The sequence below is a fragment of the Homo sapiens genome, chromosome 2, assembly GCF_000001405.40.
Source record: "Homo sapiens chromosome 2, GRCh38.p14 Primary Assembly".
Lineage (NCBI taxonomy): Eukaryota > Metazoa > Chordata > Mammalia > Primates > Hominidae > Homo > Homo sapiens.
The window spans coordinates 169,825,441-169,837,715 of NC_000002.12; the positions used below are offsets into that span (position 1 = coordinate 169,825,441).

The following is a 12,275-nucleotide window of genomic DNA, read 5'->3' on the forward strand; positions in this document are numbered from 1 at the left end:
ACGAGGTCAGGAGATTGAGACCATCCTGGCTAACACGGTGAAACCCTGTCCCTACTAAAATTACAAAAAAATTAGCCGGGCTTGGTGGCGGGCGCCTGTAGTCCCAGTTACTCGGGAGGCTGAGGCAGGAGAATGGCGTGAACCCGGAAGGCGGAGCTTGTAGTGAGCCGAGATCAAGCTACTGCACTCCAGCCTGGGAGACAGAGCGAGACTCCGTCTCAAAAAAAAAAAGACAGTGGAAATGAAAATAAAAGAATAGGTAGTGGTGTCAAATACTGGAAAGAGGTCGGGCTTCATAAAGTAGGAGCAGAAATTAAGTTGTAGCAGATTGTGGAGCGAATGGAAATTTAGGAAGAAGAAAGAGTAAATGTGAACAATTAAACGTGGCCCCGGAAGCGGTGGCTCACCCCTGTGATCCCAACATTTTGGGAGGCCGAGATGGGCGGATTGCTTGAGACGGGAGTTTGAGACCAGCCTGGGCAACATAAGGAGACCCTGTCTCTACTAAAAATACAAAAATTAGCTGGGTCTGATGACGCGAGCCTGTGGTCCCAGCTGCTCGGGTGGCTGGGGTGGGAAAATCGCTTGAGCCCGGGAGGCAAAGCTTCCAGTGATCTGAAATTGCGCCACTGCACTCCAGTCTGGTCGACAGTGAGACCCTGTCTCAAAAAAAAAAAAAAAAAAAAGAAAGAAGAAAAGAAAGAGAAAGAGAAAGGTGGCCTACGAAAAGAATGGTTGGATGCTTAGTAATGGGGGAAGCTTTATTATTTTTTCAATTATTTTTAAGACAGGAGGAGACAAATTCTGACAAGAATTGAGCTAATAGAAAGAGAGGGGTTAAAAATGCAAGAGGATATTGGATGGAGTTGGGATCCTGAGAAGGCAGGATCCAGTGGTTAAGTAAAAGGATTGCAGGATTGCGTTTAAGCCTGTGGATGGACACCTCTTTGCATTATTATAGGAAGAAGAAAAAGAGTGAATGGACGATGACGAAGTAGAGAAGTGTCTGAGGCTGCTACTTCTAGGAATAGCAGAATTCAAAGTTATCTGTTATGAGAATCAAATGAGTTAAAACATACAAAGTTTTAGCATGTAAAGTTAATACATAAAGTTTTATTTAGTTTATAATTTAGTGATTCGTAAAATTATTGAGCAAATTTAACTTATCACTGTTATATGATGATCGTGACATACTTAACTCATGTAGAAGACCAGGAATAACCTGTTTTAATTATGTTTCATTCATTTCAAACACAAGGTTATGGATTGGAAACACTCCTGTTCTTCTTTGTTGTTGTTGTTGTTGTTGTTGTTTTTAGAGACGGAGTCTCGCTTTGTCACCCAGGCTGGAGTGCAGTGGCGCGATCTCGGCTCACTACAACCCCCGCCTCCTGGGTTCAAGTGATTCTCCTGCCTCAGCCTCCGGAGTAGCTGGGATTACAGGCGTGCGCCACCATGCCCGGCTAATTTTTGTATTTTTAGTAGAGACAGGGTTTCACCATGTCAGCCAGGCTGATCTCAAACTCCTCACCTCAAGTAATCCGCCTGCCTCGGCCTCCCAAAGTGCTGGGATTACAGGCGTGAGCCACCGCGCCTGGCCTTCTGTTCTTCTTTGGATTGCTTTTCCTACAGTTTTTGTTTTCCTTAAGTTGGGGTTTCATTCTGTCGCCCGCTGGACTTTGATAACAGTAGGAATGTACATCTCAGACAAAATGCAGATGCCTAAAGTACATCTGAAAGATGATGTGAATAATTCCTGTAGTCTATGCAAATAAAGAAATAATTGCCCTTATTAAAGATTTCCTATAAGGTGAGTACTTTATTTCAGTAGCTCTTAACTTAGAAAGTTGGGAGCCTAGCTTGGTCCACAGGCGCCCAGGAGAGAGGGGCGGGAGGAAGGCTCTGCAGCCCGAGGGGGCGTGTGTAGGGGCGGGGCTGCGGGCGGAGGAGCGCGGACGCTCCGGGTATCGCGAGAGTTGGGCGGGCCGAGCAATCGCAGCAGTCTATTCCCTCACTCTCCCTGGAGGAGCCGCTGGCCCTGGACTCTCCAAATTCTGAGCTCTCATCATGGCGGCGGCGGCCGCGGCGGCCGTCGGGGGCCAGCAGCCGTCACAGCCCGAGCTGCCCGCGCCGGGGCTGGCCCTAGACAAGGCGGCCACCGCCGCGCACCTCAAGGCGGCCCTCAGCCGGCCGGACAACCGCGCAGGTGCTGAGGAGCTGCAGGCGCTGCTGGAGCGGGTGCTGAGCGCCGAGCGGCCGCTGGCCGCGGCTGCCGGCGGCGAGGACGCGGCGGCGGCCGGAGGCGGGGGCGGTCCGGGGGCGGCCGAGGAGGAGGCCCTGGAGTGGTGTAAGTGCCTTCTGGCGGGCGGCGGCGGCTACGACGAGTTCTGCGCGGCGGTGCGGGCCTACGATCCCGCGGCGCTCTGCGGCCTGGTCTGGACAGCCAACTTCGTGGCCTACCGCTGCCGGACGTGCGGCATCTCGCCCTGCATGTCGCTGTGCGCCGAGTGCTTCCACCAGGGCGACCACACCGGACACGACTTCAACATGTTCCGCAGCCAGGCCGGGGGCGCCTGCGACTGCGGGGACAGCAACGTGATGCGGGAGAGCGGGTGAGTGGAGCCCTCCCCGCGGGCGAGGCGACCCTGGGCCGGGGACGTCGCGGGAGGGCCTGGAGCGGAGCACTGGGAGCCCACTCTGAGCTGTCAAGGGGAGGGTGCGGGGGAGGGTGCAGCCACAGGGGGATGGAGGTGACTGAGCTGTCAGCGGTGGAAAGGGGGTGGGGAGGAGAAGGAGGGGAGAGGAGAGCGGAGAGCATGTTTAGGAAACCGGGCTGTGAATTTTGGGGAAGCCAGGGTGGGTAAATGATAGCGAGAAAAGAGCCAGTGTATGGGGTAGGAGGGGAGTGAGGGGAAATGATTTTTGGGGAAGCTCGTGTCGAGCTGTCAAGTGTGTACTTGTTGGGAAAGGCTGTAAAGCCTGGTTCTTGGGAAGAGACTTAGGTTGTGATTTGGATTGGCTGGGAGGGGATGTTATTGGGGACCGTATTGGCTCGCGGGATGATGAGAGCTGGGGAGGTGGTCTTGTACGTGCAGGGAAGGACGCTTGAGGAAAAGGTCTTCTGAACTGCCAGTGTGTCTGTCACTGTGAGAGAAGGAGCTCTTGAGGGTTGAGGGAGGAGGGAAGGGGAGGGGCCTGCATGAAAAGTGACTGTTGAGCTGTCAGTGGATTATTTGGTATGCTGGAATGACATTTAGAATTGGGCTACTGAGCAGTCAGTTACAGAATACCCTCCATACCAGGAGAACAAACAAAATACTGAGCGAACCAGGAATCAAGTGTTAGGTCTTCTCCAGTTAAGGGCACTTTGTTCACTCACTGATACGTGAACCTCTGTCTAAAAGGAGACAACAAATGCCCTTTTGACAGAAGCGATGCATCAGATGTTGGGACTTATGAGAAAAGACATTTCAGAGTTTGCAGTGAGTTACAGAGAGTTGGTACATGTAGGGTCGTGGCTTGGAACATGATGTCAATGTCAGGGACAGTCTGAGAAAAAAGGAAAAAGTGAAAGGGGCGATTTTGGATGGGCAGTAGTTGAAAGAATATTAGCAACTACAGGTTGCTATCAGTTATTAAACTTCTTCAATTTTCAGGTCTTAGGATTAATGACAGAGTACAATCTTTTTATAAATGGTCACCTTTTTCTTCGGAGTACTTGTAAGGTTACTGTTACTCCAAAATGTTTGTACCTACTATGTGCAAGCAAGGCTTCTTGGATATTAAAAATGAATGAAACATTGACCAACCCCTTACTCTACTTGCACTGGAGTAGAAAGTAATAAATTCCTTAAACAATAACTTGGTAGCTAGAGGAGGGAGATGAGGTTTCTGTGCAGAGGGAGTAAGAAAAAGTCTTCAGAAAGGAGGTATTTTGAATTTGCTAATAATAATAACAACATAATTGCAGCTAACATTTGAGTTTTTTTTTTTTTTTTTTGAGACGGAGTTTCTCTCTTGTTGCCCAAGCTGGAGTGCAATGGCGCGACCTCGGCTCACTGAAACCTCCGCCCCCTGGGTTCAAGCGATTCTCCTGCCTCAGCCTCCCAAGTAGCTGGGATTACAGTCATGCACTACCACGCCTGGCTAATTTTGTATTTTTTTAGTAGAGACAGGGTTTCTCCATGTCGGTCAGGCTAGTCCCGAACTCCCGACCTCAGGTGATCCGCCCGCGTCGGCCTCCCAAGTGCTGGGATTACAGGCGTGAGCCACCGCGCCCGGCCAACATTTGAGTTCTTGAACTGTATGTCTGATACTTTAAAAGTACTTTTTAAAATTTAATATTTGAATAGGTAAAATATATAGCTAAAAAGTACACACACACACACACACACACACACACACACACACACACGGAAGTTTTTCTCACATCTAGTCTTCTATCTGTCCAGTTCCTTCCCGCTTAGTTTCTCTTGGTGCAGAACAAGCAAAGATGTTTCCTAGTTTTTCAGTCTCTTTTTATGCAAAGGGTTACATACTTTCCACTGTTCTACATCTTGCATTTTTTGGTTATCTTAGATGTATTTTTCCTATTAAAAAATCAGTGTCGTCATTCTATTTTTTTAAAAAAACTGCTGCATAGTGTTCCATGTTTTCAATTTGCCATTCTTTAATTTCTTTTTTTATTTTTATTTTTATTTTTTGTGCGTGTGAATTTGCCATTCTTGATTTAATGTCTCTTCATGGGCATTTGGCTTTCCAGTATAAAATTAAAAACGTGGTGTATCTGTCTTTTCCCCACCTGGTCAAGAGAGTCAGTGGGATAAATTCTCAAAAGTGTGATTTCCAAATTGCCCTCCCTAAGGCTTAGTACTAATTACTCTGTGAGACTGCCTGTTTTCCAACAGCCTCATCAACAGAGTAGTAGTAAAATTTTGGACTTTTATCTATTTGGTTAAAAGTGGCCAAATTCTAGCTGTTTTATGTGATTTAACTTATTTATTCTTTGACTCTGAGATTATTACTTTTATTATTCTCATTGTACAGAAGAGGAAAGTAGGGCAGAGTTAAAAACCTTGCTCAAGTTCACACAGGCAGTAAGCTAGGCATGCTGGCTCCAGGGCTCTGGAGCCAGACTAATCAACCATTTCTCTTTACTGCCCCTACTAAATAGCATTCTTACTGGTTTTTCTTTTCAATTCTATGTTTTATCTTTTTTTTTTTCCTTAATATGCTATTCTTATTTGGGCCTTTGTTTCTTTCTTTTTAAACTTTTTTTGTTTGTTTTGTTTTAAAGAGGCACATCAAAACAGGAGTTGGAGCAATCCTTTACTGATATTTAGACATTTTTACTTCTTGGACTGGGTTAGCATTTAGGAAAGCCTCCAGAGAACCTGAAGGTAGGAAATAACACTGATTCTTTCCTGACTTTTGGAATACAGTGGTAATTATCAGGTTGTCGTGGATGAGATGGAAGTCTGATCGCTTGTGATGCTTCAGTGTACTACCAGAAATATGTCAGTGAGTTTCTTTGAAGGTATTCATACAGTTTTAGGGCATCCAGGCTATAGACAGTCAACATCCTAACCTCATGGTATTTGCTTTTACTGGTGTCTCATAGGTAAGTATTATTTTCCCAGTCTGGCAACCCTCTATGAGTTGGTACATTATATATATATATATATATATTTTTTTTTTTTTTTTTTTTTTTTTTTTGAGAGAGAGAGTTTTGCTCTTGTTGCCCAGGCTGGATTGCAGTGGCACGATCTTGGCTCACCGCAACCTCTGCCTCCCGGGTTCAAGTGATTCTCTACCTCAGCCTTCCAAATAGCTGGGATTACAGGGATGCGCCACCACACCCGGCTAATTTTTTTTTTTTCTTGTGTTTTTAGTAAAGACAGGGTTTCTCCATGTTGGTCAGGCTGGTCTTGAACTCCTGACCTTAGGTGATCCACCCGCCTCGGCCTCCCAAAGTGCTGGGATTACAGGCATGAGCCACCACACCCGGCCGGATACATAATATTTAAAGATTTATTATTATCTTTGTCTGAAACCAGAGCTATTGCCTGTATGTGTCAGCAGTTGCCATGTCCAGTTTCATAAAGGGCAAGATTGAACAATAAACAGTATTGTGGCCATGCAATTACTCTGAATTTTTTCTAACTGCTTGGATTGGATAGAGTAATTTTCCTGGGCTATACAGCTAATTTACTGCCTCAAGAGAAATAGGTGATGTTGACCAGCTCTGCAACCTAAAAGACTGCCTCTGGAACCTTTTTAGAACTGGAAATCATCAACAGCTTGTAACAGTGTTCTCATGGGCAAAGCTGGACTACACTGGCATGAACAGAATGTTTGAACTTTTCTAAGTTTTTGGTATTTTAAAAACCCCTTTAGATTGCCAAAGATTGAATGTGTGTTGATTTTGGGGTTTTTATTCTAACTGCCATAAGTTTGTAAATTTCATGGTTTAGTCACTTTTAGAGGAAGGATTCCTTTTTTTCAGCTGTATTTGTGCTCTTAGTAAATGAGAATAAATCTTTCTGTGCCATAATCCTTTTCACCAGTGTCTGACTGTTGCCTGTAGGATGTTCTTGATTGGAGATGGAGAAGAATCTTGAATCTATCACAGCTGTATTTATATTTAATTTTCAAATTAGCAATTATAGAACTGTGGGGAGGATTTAGTTATTTTTGACTGAGTAGTATTGATATAATCAATGTGGCAGTATTAGCAGATATACAAACCAAAGGAAGAAAACAATTGAGGATTCATTTGTGGGATGAAATCACAAAGGCTATGGAAATTGTGTGCTAATAACTGTATGTGGCTGGGCGCGGTGGCTCACGCCTGCAATCCCAGCACTTTGGGAGGCCGAGGTGGGCAGATCACGAAGTCAGGAGATTGAGATCATCCTGGCTAACATGGTGAAACCCCGTCTCTACTAAAAATACAAAAAATTAGTCAGGCGTGGTGGTGGGTGCCTGTAGTCCCAGCTACTCGGGAGGCTGAGGCAGGAGAATGGCGTGAACCCGGGAGGCGGAGCTTGGAGTGAGCTTGGAGTGAGCTTGGAGTGAGATCCCGCCACTGCACTCCAGCCTGGGCGACAGAGCGTGACTCTGTCTCAGGAAAAAAAACAAAAAAACTGTATGTATAACTACAGTTTTGCCACTAGTGAGTAAGTGCAGTCATTGTCAGAAATGCTTTATGGGGGCCGGGCGTGGTGGCTCACACCTGTAATCCCAGCACTTTGGGAGGCCGAGGCAGGCGGATCACCTTAAGTCGGGAGTTCAAGACCAGCCTGACCACATGGAGAAACCCCATCTCTACTAAAAATACAAAATTATCTGGGCATGATGGTGCATGCCTGTAATCCCAGCTACTCTGGAGGCTGAGACAGGAGAATTGCTTGAACCCAGGAGGCGGAGGTTACAGTGAGCCAAGATCATGCCATTGCACTCCAGCCTGGGCAACAAGAGTGAAACTCCATCTGGAAAAAAAAAAAATGCTTTATGGGTGGATGAACTCAAAACAAAATAACCTGTAATGGAAAGTCTAAAATACACTCGTTCCTCAGTATATGGTATACATAGGAGACTGGTTCCAGAATACCCACCTCCCACCCACTCTTCAGGGTATACTGAAATGCTGCTTATATGAAAAGTCTGCCCTTCATGTATGTGAGTGTCAGATCCCATGAATTCTGCATTTTTGATCCATGTTTAGTTAAAAAAATCCTTGTATAAGTGGACCCTTGTAGTTCAAACTAGTGTTGTTCAAGGGTCAACTGTAATGTCTGACTAGCTGGTTTTGGGCTCTGATGGGATACTAACTGGAAACTGGGATTTTAAACATTTAGTTCTCAAATTTTGGTGCAGAGAATGAGGAGTTTCATGTTCTGTCCTATATTACAGATATTTTTGTCTCCTTGCTTGTTCTTCCTCACATATTCTAAGCTCCTTAAAAGATAAGGACCACATTTTGCTATTAGCCAGAGGCCAGCACCTACTAAGTCTCTTGTACTTAGGAGGTGTCAGTAATTTTGAATTAAATTGGATAAAAAAGTGGCTGCTATACCCAAAAAGTTACTGTAAGATTACATTGCTTTAGTTACTCATGAGGTGGCATTGATTATTAAATCCATAGCAGCTTTTTTCAGAGTGCTTTCATTCTTTTTTTAGTTTCAGAAGTAATACACATTGATTATAACATAAAAATAAGTGGATAAAGTAAAAAGTAAAGGTGCCTTTCTCCATCCTACCCCTCAGTAAGAAATTTCCTTTTCTTTTAAGGTTACTTATGTGTTTAAAAGAGATTAGTTATAATTTATCCAGCATTTCTAGATTTTTTTTTTTTTTAGTGACAGGTTCTCGCAGTGTCTCCCAGGCTGGAGTGCAGTGGTGTGATATCACAGCTCACTGCAGCCTCTACCTCCCAGGCTCAAGTGATCTCCCACCTCACCCTCCCAAGTAGCTGTGACTGTAGGCGCACACCACCACACACAGCTAAATTTCTTTTTGTATTTTTTGTAGAGATGGTATTTCACCATGTTGGCCAGGCTGGTCTTGAACTCCTGGCTTCAAGCAGTCTACCTGCCTCAGCCTCCCAAAGAGCTGGGATTATAGGCGTGAGCCACAGTGTGGTGCCTGGCCTGTGTTGTGGGAGGTTTTTAGGTTTTCTGATCTGTGGTAGCCAGAAATTGAACCACGTGAATGTCTGGTTGAATAGTGTTACTCTCTTCAGTAGCTTGCTTTTTTCCCCTTAACATATTTATGGATACTATCTCAAAAGTAGAACTGCTTCATTTTTAAAGTTAAATAGTATTTCATTGTATTTCCATGTTTTTGTAATGTACTATGATTTTTGCGGTCAGTCCCTACTGATAGACATTTAAATTGTTTCCAGACTTGGGCTGTTGTAAACATTGTTGCAGTCAGTATTCTTGTATACACTTGTTCATATGTGTGTGAGCTTATGTATGAGGATACATTCCTAGAAGTTATATCTTGGTTGAAGGAAATTTGCAAATTCAACTTTGATAGAACCCTCCAAAGAAATTAATTTACATTCCTGCCAACAATGTATGAAACAATTTGTTTCCCCATATTCTGGCAGTATATATGGTGGTATCAGTGTTTCTGATCTTTGCTGCTCTCATAAGTGAAAAGTTATATCCCATTTCATCTGTTATCTCCCTGTCCCACTGCTTTTTCGTCCCAGCCAGGACTATTTTGAAGCAAATATCAGATACCTTATAATTTAATTTAAAAATATTTGAGTATGCATCTCAGTAAAGAGATGTGAACTCTAAAACATAACTCAAATGTCCATCAGCAGATGAATGGGTAAGCAATATGTGGAATATACGTACAATGGAATATTTAACCTTAAAAAGTAATAAAATTCTGACACATTAGAATGTTACAATGTAGATAAACCTTGAAGACCTTATGCCAAATGAAATAGGCCCAGCACAAAAGAACAAATGCTTGTATGCTTCGGTCTATATGAAGTGCCCGGAATAGTCAAATTCATACAGACAGAAAGTAGAATAGTGATTATCAGAGGCCAAGGGAAGGGGAGATTGGGGAGTTATTTTTTTAACAGGTACAGAGTTTCAGTTTGGGAAGATGAAAAAGTCCTTGAGATCGATGGTTGTGATGGTTGCAAAACAATGTGAATGTACTTAATGCCACTAAAACTGTACACTTAAGATGTTTTAAATGGTAAATTTTATGTTATTTATATTTTACCACAATTAAAAAATAATGTCAGGTATGGTGGCTCGCACCTGTAGTCCCAGCTACTCCCGAGGCTGAGTTGGGAGTATTGCTTGAGGCTGGGAGTAAGAGGCTGCAGTGGATTATGATCACACCTGGGAATAGTCACTGCACTCCAGCCTCAGCAACATGAAGTGACCTCATCTCTTGAAAAGAAAGCAAAAAACAAACAACTCCCCCAAAACCACAATACCAATACTACACCTAAAATATTCATATTTTGTTTGTTTGTTTGTTTTGATATGGAGTCTCACTCTGTTGCCAGGCTGGAGTGCAGTTGCATGATCTCGGCTCACTGCAACCTCTGCCTCCTGAGTTCAAGCGGTTCTCCTGTCTCAGCCTCCCTAGTAGCAGGGACTACAGGTGCATGCCACCATGCCCAGCTAATTTTTGTATTTTTAGTAGAGGTGGGGTTTCACCATATTGGTCAGGCTGGTCTGGAACTCCTGACCTCAGGCAATCCACCTGCCTTGGCCTCCCAAAGTGCTGGGATTACAGGCGTGAGCCACCGTGCGTGGCCTAATTTTTAAATCATTATAAAACTCAGTTAAAACTATTTTCAATTATGAAACAATTTGAATTTACAGAAAAGTACAAAAGTAGTATAACAGATACCTTTGTACTTACCATTGAGATGAATAGATATTAACCTTTTGCCATGTTTGCTCTAGAGTTGCTTTTAGTCAAAAAACCAAAGAAAGGTCAACCCACCTTTCCCTTTCTCTTTTCCTCTCCAGACGTTAACCATTTTCCTGAAATTCCTGTGTGCACTGTCTCTCTCTCTCTCTCTCTCTCTCTCTCTCTCTCTCTCTCTCTCTCTCTCTATATATATATATATATATATATATTTTTTTTTTTTTTTTTTTTTTTTTTGAGATGGAAACTCGCTCTGTCCCCATCAGACTCAGGCTGGAGTGCAATGGTGCGATCTCGGCTCACTGCAACCTCCGCCTCCTGAGTTCAAGCAATTCTCCTGCCTCAGCCGCCTGAGTAGCTGGGATTACAGGCGGCCGCCACCATGCCTAGCTAATTTTCATATTTTTAGTAGAGATGGGGGTTTCACCATATTGGCCAGGCTGGTCTCGAACTCCTGACCTCCGGTGATCTTCCCGCCTCAGCCTCCCAGAGTGCTGGAATTACAGGCATGGGCTACCACGCCTGGCCCCACCAGGAATTTGAGGTCTTGTTTTTCTGCTTATTGAAACTTGGTGTTAATGAGAACACATGGACACCACGAAGGGAACAACACACACAGGGGCCTGTTGGGTCGGGGGCAGGGAGAGGGAGAGCATCAGAAAAAATAGCTAATGCATGCTGGGCTTCATACCTAGTTGATGAGTTGATAGGTGCAGCAAACCACCACAGCAACCATTTACCTATGTAACCTGTACATCCTGCACATGTAATTCAGAACTTAAAAAAAAAAAAACCAAAAGACACTTGGTGTTATATATATAAATTTATAATATTTTACCAATCTGTTGGATACAAACATCTTTTTAAAATTTATATTTTCTTGACTAGTAAAGTTGAACATCTTTTCATATGTTTTGGGGCCATTTGGGCTTCTTTCTTGGTGAACTGCTGGTTCATATTATTTGCCTGTTTTGTTTTTCTGTTTTACTGAGTTTTAAGAATGCTGTACATACTCTAGATGCTGATCCTTTGTTGTATAAATACTTAATTTCATCTTCTAGTTTGTGTCTTGTCTTTTTACCTTGAAATATATAATTTTGTTGTAAACGATTTTAAATTAAAAATGTAGTTTTTCTTCTACAGTTTGTATTATTTGTATCTTGTTAAAGAAATCTTCTTCACCTTGGTTTAAAAAAATGCTTATATGTTTTCTACTGAAAGATTTAAGGTTTTTCATTGTACACTTAGGTCTTTTGTCCATCTGGAATTTATTTTTACATGTAGTATGAGATTGAGGTCTGTATTAGTCTGTTTTCGCACTGCTATAAAGAACTGCCTGAACGGGCCCGGAGGCTCACGCCTGTAATCCCAGCACTTTGGGAAGCCGAGGCAGGTGAATCACCTGAGGTCGGGAGTTCGAGACCAGCCTGACCAACATGGAGAAACCCCATCTCTACTAAAAATACAAAATTAGCCGGGTGTGGTGGCGTGTGGCTGTAATCCCAGCTTCTCGGGAGGCTGAGGCAAGAGAATTGCTTGAACCTGGGAGGCAGAGGTTGCGGTGAGCCGCGATCACGCCATTGCACTCCAGCCTGGGCAACAAGAGGAAATCTCCGTCTCAAAAAGAAAAGGAAAAAGAACGGCTGGAGACTGGGTGATTTATAAAGGAAAGAGGTTTAATTGACTCACAGTTCAGCATGGCTGGGGAGGCCTTAGGAAACGTAGAATCATGGTAGAAGGCACCTAGTCACAGAGCAGCAGGGGGGGAGAAGCGAGCAGGGGAAATGCCAGATGCTTATAAAACCATTACATCTCGTGAGAACTCACTCACTATCATGAGAACAACATAGGGCAAACCA

At 43.8% G+C, this 12,275-nt stretch overlaps 1 protein-coding gene across 1 annotated transcript in view, besides 5 other annotated features; it reads left to right on the top strand.

Moving 5' to 3' along the window:
• Positions 11 to 214: a silencer, noted in NCBI's record as "fragment chr2:170681961-170682164 (GRCh37/hg19 assembly coordinates)". NCBI's record gives its function as "represses an EF-1alpha promoter that drives an FKBP-Casp9 reporter gene in an ReSE screen in K562 erythroleukemia cells {active_cell/tissue: K562}" and the evidence as "EXISTENCE:reporter gene assay evidence [ECO:0000049][PMID:32094911]".
• Positions 1,808 to 2,367: a silencer, noted in NCBI's record as "silent region_12087". NCBI's record gives its function as "represses an Ori minimal core promoter by ATAC-STARR-seq in GM12878 lymphoblastoid cells {active_cell/tissue: GM12878}" and the evidence as "EXISTENCE:reporter gene assay evidence [ECO:0000049][PMID:35858748]".
• UBR3 (ubiquitin protein ligase E3 component n-recognin 3) overlaps positions 2,014 to 12,275 on the top strand; it is a 256,678-nt gene continuing 246,416 nt past the window's right edge. The window contains exon 1 of the mRNA NM_172070.4: positions 2,014 to 2,612. Coding sequence (NP_742067.3) covers positions 2,068 to 2,612 — 545 coding nt within the window. The 5' untranslated portion in view covers positions 2,014 to 2,067. The remainder of the gene's footprint in view (positions 2,613 to 12,275) is intronic.
• Positions 2,628 to 2,757: a silencer, noted in NCBI's record as "silent region_12088". NCBI's record gives its function as "represses an Ori minimal core promoter by ATAC-STARR-seq in GM12878 lymphoblastoid cells {active_cell/tissue: GM12878}" and the evidence as "EXISTENCE:reporter gene assay evidence [ECO:0000049][PMID:35858748]".
• Positions 3,775 to 4,276: an enhancer, noted in NCBI's record as "H3K4me1 hESC enhancer chr2:170685725-170686226 (GRCh37/hg19 assembly coordinates)". NCBI's record gives its function as "activates a minimal SCP1, AML or CMV promoter by ChIP-STARR-seq in naive H9 embryonic stem cells {active_cell/tissue: H9 hESC(naive)}" and the evidence as "EXISTENCE:reporter gene assay evidence [ECO:0000049][PMID:30033119]".
• Positions 4,277 to 4,776: an enhancer, noted in NCBI's record as "H3K4me1 hESC enhancer chr2:170686227-170686726 (GRCh37/hg19 assembly coordinates)". NCBI's record gives its function as "activates a minimal SCP1, AML or CMV promoter by ChIP-STARR-seq in naive H9 embryonic stem cells {active_cell/tissue: H9 hESC(naive)}" and the evidence as "EXISTENCE:reporter gene assay evidence [ECO:0000049][PMID:30033119]".